This window comes from Homo sapiens, chromosome X (genome assembly GCF_000001405.40).
Source record: "Homo sapiens chromosome X, GRCh38.p14 Primary Assembly".
NCBI lineage: Eukaryota > Metazoa > Chordata > Mammalia > Primates > Hominidae > Homo > Homo sapiens.
Genome location: NC_000023.11, coordinates 146,618,920 through 146,621,268, shown reverse-complemented (window position 1 = coordinate 146,621,268; position 2,349 = coordinate 146,618,920). Strand labels below are relative to the sequence as shown.

The following is a 2,349-nucleotide window of genomic DNA, read 5'->3' as shown; positions in this document are numbered from 1 at the left end:
ATGAAGGGTTGTTGAATTTTGTCAAAGGCCTTTTGTGCATCTATTGAGATAATCATGTGGTTTTTGTCTTTGGTTCTGTTTATATGCGGGATTACATTTATTGATTTGCGTATATTGAACCAGCCTTGCATCCCAGGGATGAAGCCCACTCGATCATGGTGGGTAAGCTTTTTGATGTGCTGCTGGATTCGTTTTGCCAGTATTTTATTGAGGATTTTTGCATCAATGTTCATCAAGGATATTGGTCTAAAATTCTCTTTTTTGGTTGTGTGTTTGCCCGGCTTTGGTATCAGGATGATGCTGGCCTCATAAAATGAGTTAGGGAGGATTCCCTCTTTTTCTATTGATTGGAATAGTTTCAGAAGGAATGGTACCAGTTCCTCCTTGTACCTCTGGTAGAATTCGGCTAGGAATCCATCTGGTCCTGGACTCTTTTTGGTTGGTAAGCTATTGATTATTGCCACAATTTCAGATCCTGTTATTGGTCTATTCAGAGATTCAACTACGGCCCCGCCCCGAACACTGTGGCACAAGCTCAGGCCGCAGACGGTGCCGGCCCCGAGGACGACACTGAGGCCTCCCGTGCCGCCGCCCCAGCCGAAGGCCCTCCTGGCGGCATCCAGCCGGAAGCCGCAGAACCAAAACCCACGGCCGAAGCCCCGAAGGCCCCCCGAGTGGAGGAGATCCCTCAGCGCATGACCAGGAACCGGGCGCAGATGCTCGCGAACCAGAGCAAGCAGGGCCCGCCCCCCTCCGAGAAGGAGTGCGCCCCCACCCCTGCCCCGGTCACCAGGGCCAAGGCCCGCGGCTCCGAGGACGACGACGCCCAGGCCCAGCATCCGCGCAAACGCCGCTTTCAGCGCTCCACCCAGCAGCTGCAGCAGCAGCTGAACACGTCCACGCAGCAGACGAGGGAGGTGATCCAGCAGACGCTGGCCGCCATCGTGGACGCCATCAAGCTGGATGCCATCGAGCCCTACCACAGCGACAGGGCCAACCCCTACTTCGAATACCTGCAGATCAGGAAGAAGATCGAGGAGAAGCGCAAGATCCTGTGCTGTATCACGCCGCAGGCGCCCCAGTGGTACGCCCAGTACGTCACCTACACGGGCTCCTACCTCCTGGACGGCAAGCCGCTCAGCAAGCTCCACATCCCCGTGATCGCACCCCCTCCCTCCCTGGCGGAGCCCCTGAAGGAGCTGTTCAGGCAGCAGGAGGCCGTCCGGGGAAAGCTGCGTCTACAGCACAGCATCGAGAGGGAGAAGCTGATCGTATCCTGTGAGCAGGAGATTCTGCGGGTTCACTGCCGGGCGGCCAGGACCATCGCCAACCAGGCAGTGCCATTCAGCACCTGCACGATGCTGCTGGACTCCGAGGTCTACAACATGCCCCTGGAGAGCCAGGGTGACGAGAACAAGTCAGTGCGCGACCGTTTCAACGCCCGCCAGTTCATCTCCTGGCTCCAGGACGTGGATGACAAGTATGACCGCATGAAGACTTGCCTCCTCATGCGGCAGCAGCACGAGGCCGCGGCCCTGAACGCCGTGCAGAGGATGGAGTGGCAGCTGAAGGTGCAGGAACTGGACCCCGCCGGGCACAAGTCCCTGTGCGTGAACGAGGTGCCCTCCTTCTACGTGCCCATGGTCGACGTCAACGACGACTTTGTATTGTTGCCGGCATGACACCGCGGGACGGCCGCAGGACGCAGGCGAGGGCCGCACGGCTGCCCAGGACTGCTGCTGAGCCCCAGGGGCGGAGGAGGGAGCGCCCTGTCCACCCGGGCGGGGAGAGACCCCGAGAGAGACTGCACTTGGCCACAGCGCCTCCATCCCTTCCAGACTGGTCCAGACGTCGGGGAGGTGAAACACGTCTCTTCTCTACCAGCTGCCGCGGCGGGGGCAAAGCCCCCAGAGCCTCACTGGCCCCGGCGGGATGAGGAGACCATGCCGGGCGCGCACACACGGCAGCTTCTGTTTGAAAACGGCGACCTTCGGGCCCTTTTCTCCAGCAACTGCAGAGGCATTTCAGGAGTTGGAGAACGGAGTACATTTTTAAAATTTTTTGTTCCATTCTGATCAACTAAAGAAAATTAAGGTGTCCACCTCTCACAAACAGTGACCTGCAGGTCGGAGGGGCAGGAGCCCCATCCCAGCCGTGGTTCTGTTGCCGCCGAGCTGCGACGGCCTCAGACTGGGCTTCAGACCTGGTGCGGAGCGAGGCGGAGGGACACAGAGCCAGGACTCCCAGCCGTATTGAAATGGAGTCAAATCCGCGTGGTTTGTATCTTCTTTCCTTTAATCTTGGGCATTTTGTTTCTCTTTCTGAGAACGTAACTTGAAACACTACAGA

The 2,349-nt window shown here is 58.2% G+C and overlaps 1 pseudogene; it reads left to right on the top strand.

Moving 5' to 3' along the window:
• ANKRD11P2 (ANKRD11 pseudogene 2) lies at positions 505-1,879 on the top strand (annotated as a pseudogene).
• The last annotated feature ends 470 nt before the right edge of the window (positions 1,880-2,349 follow it).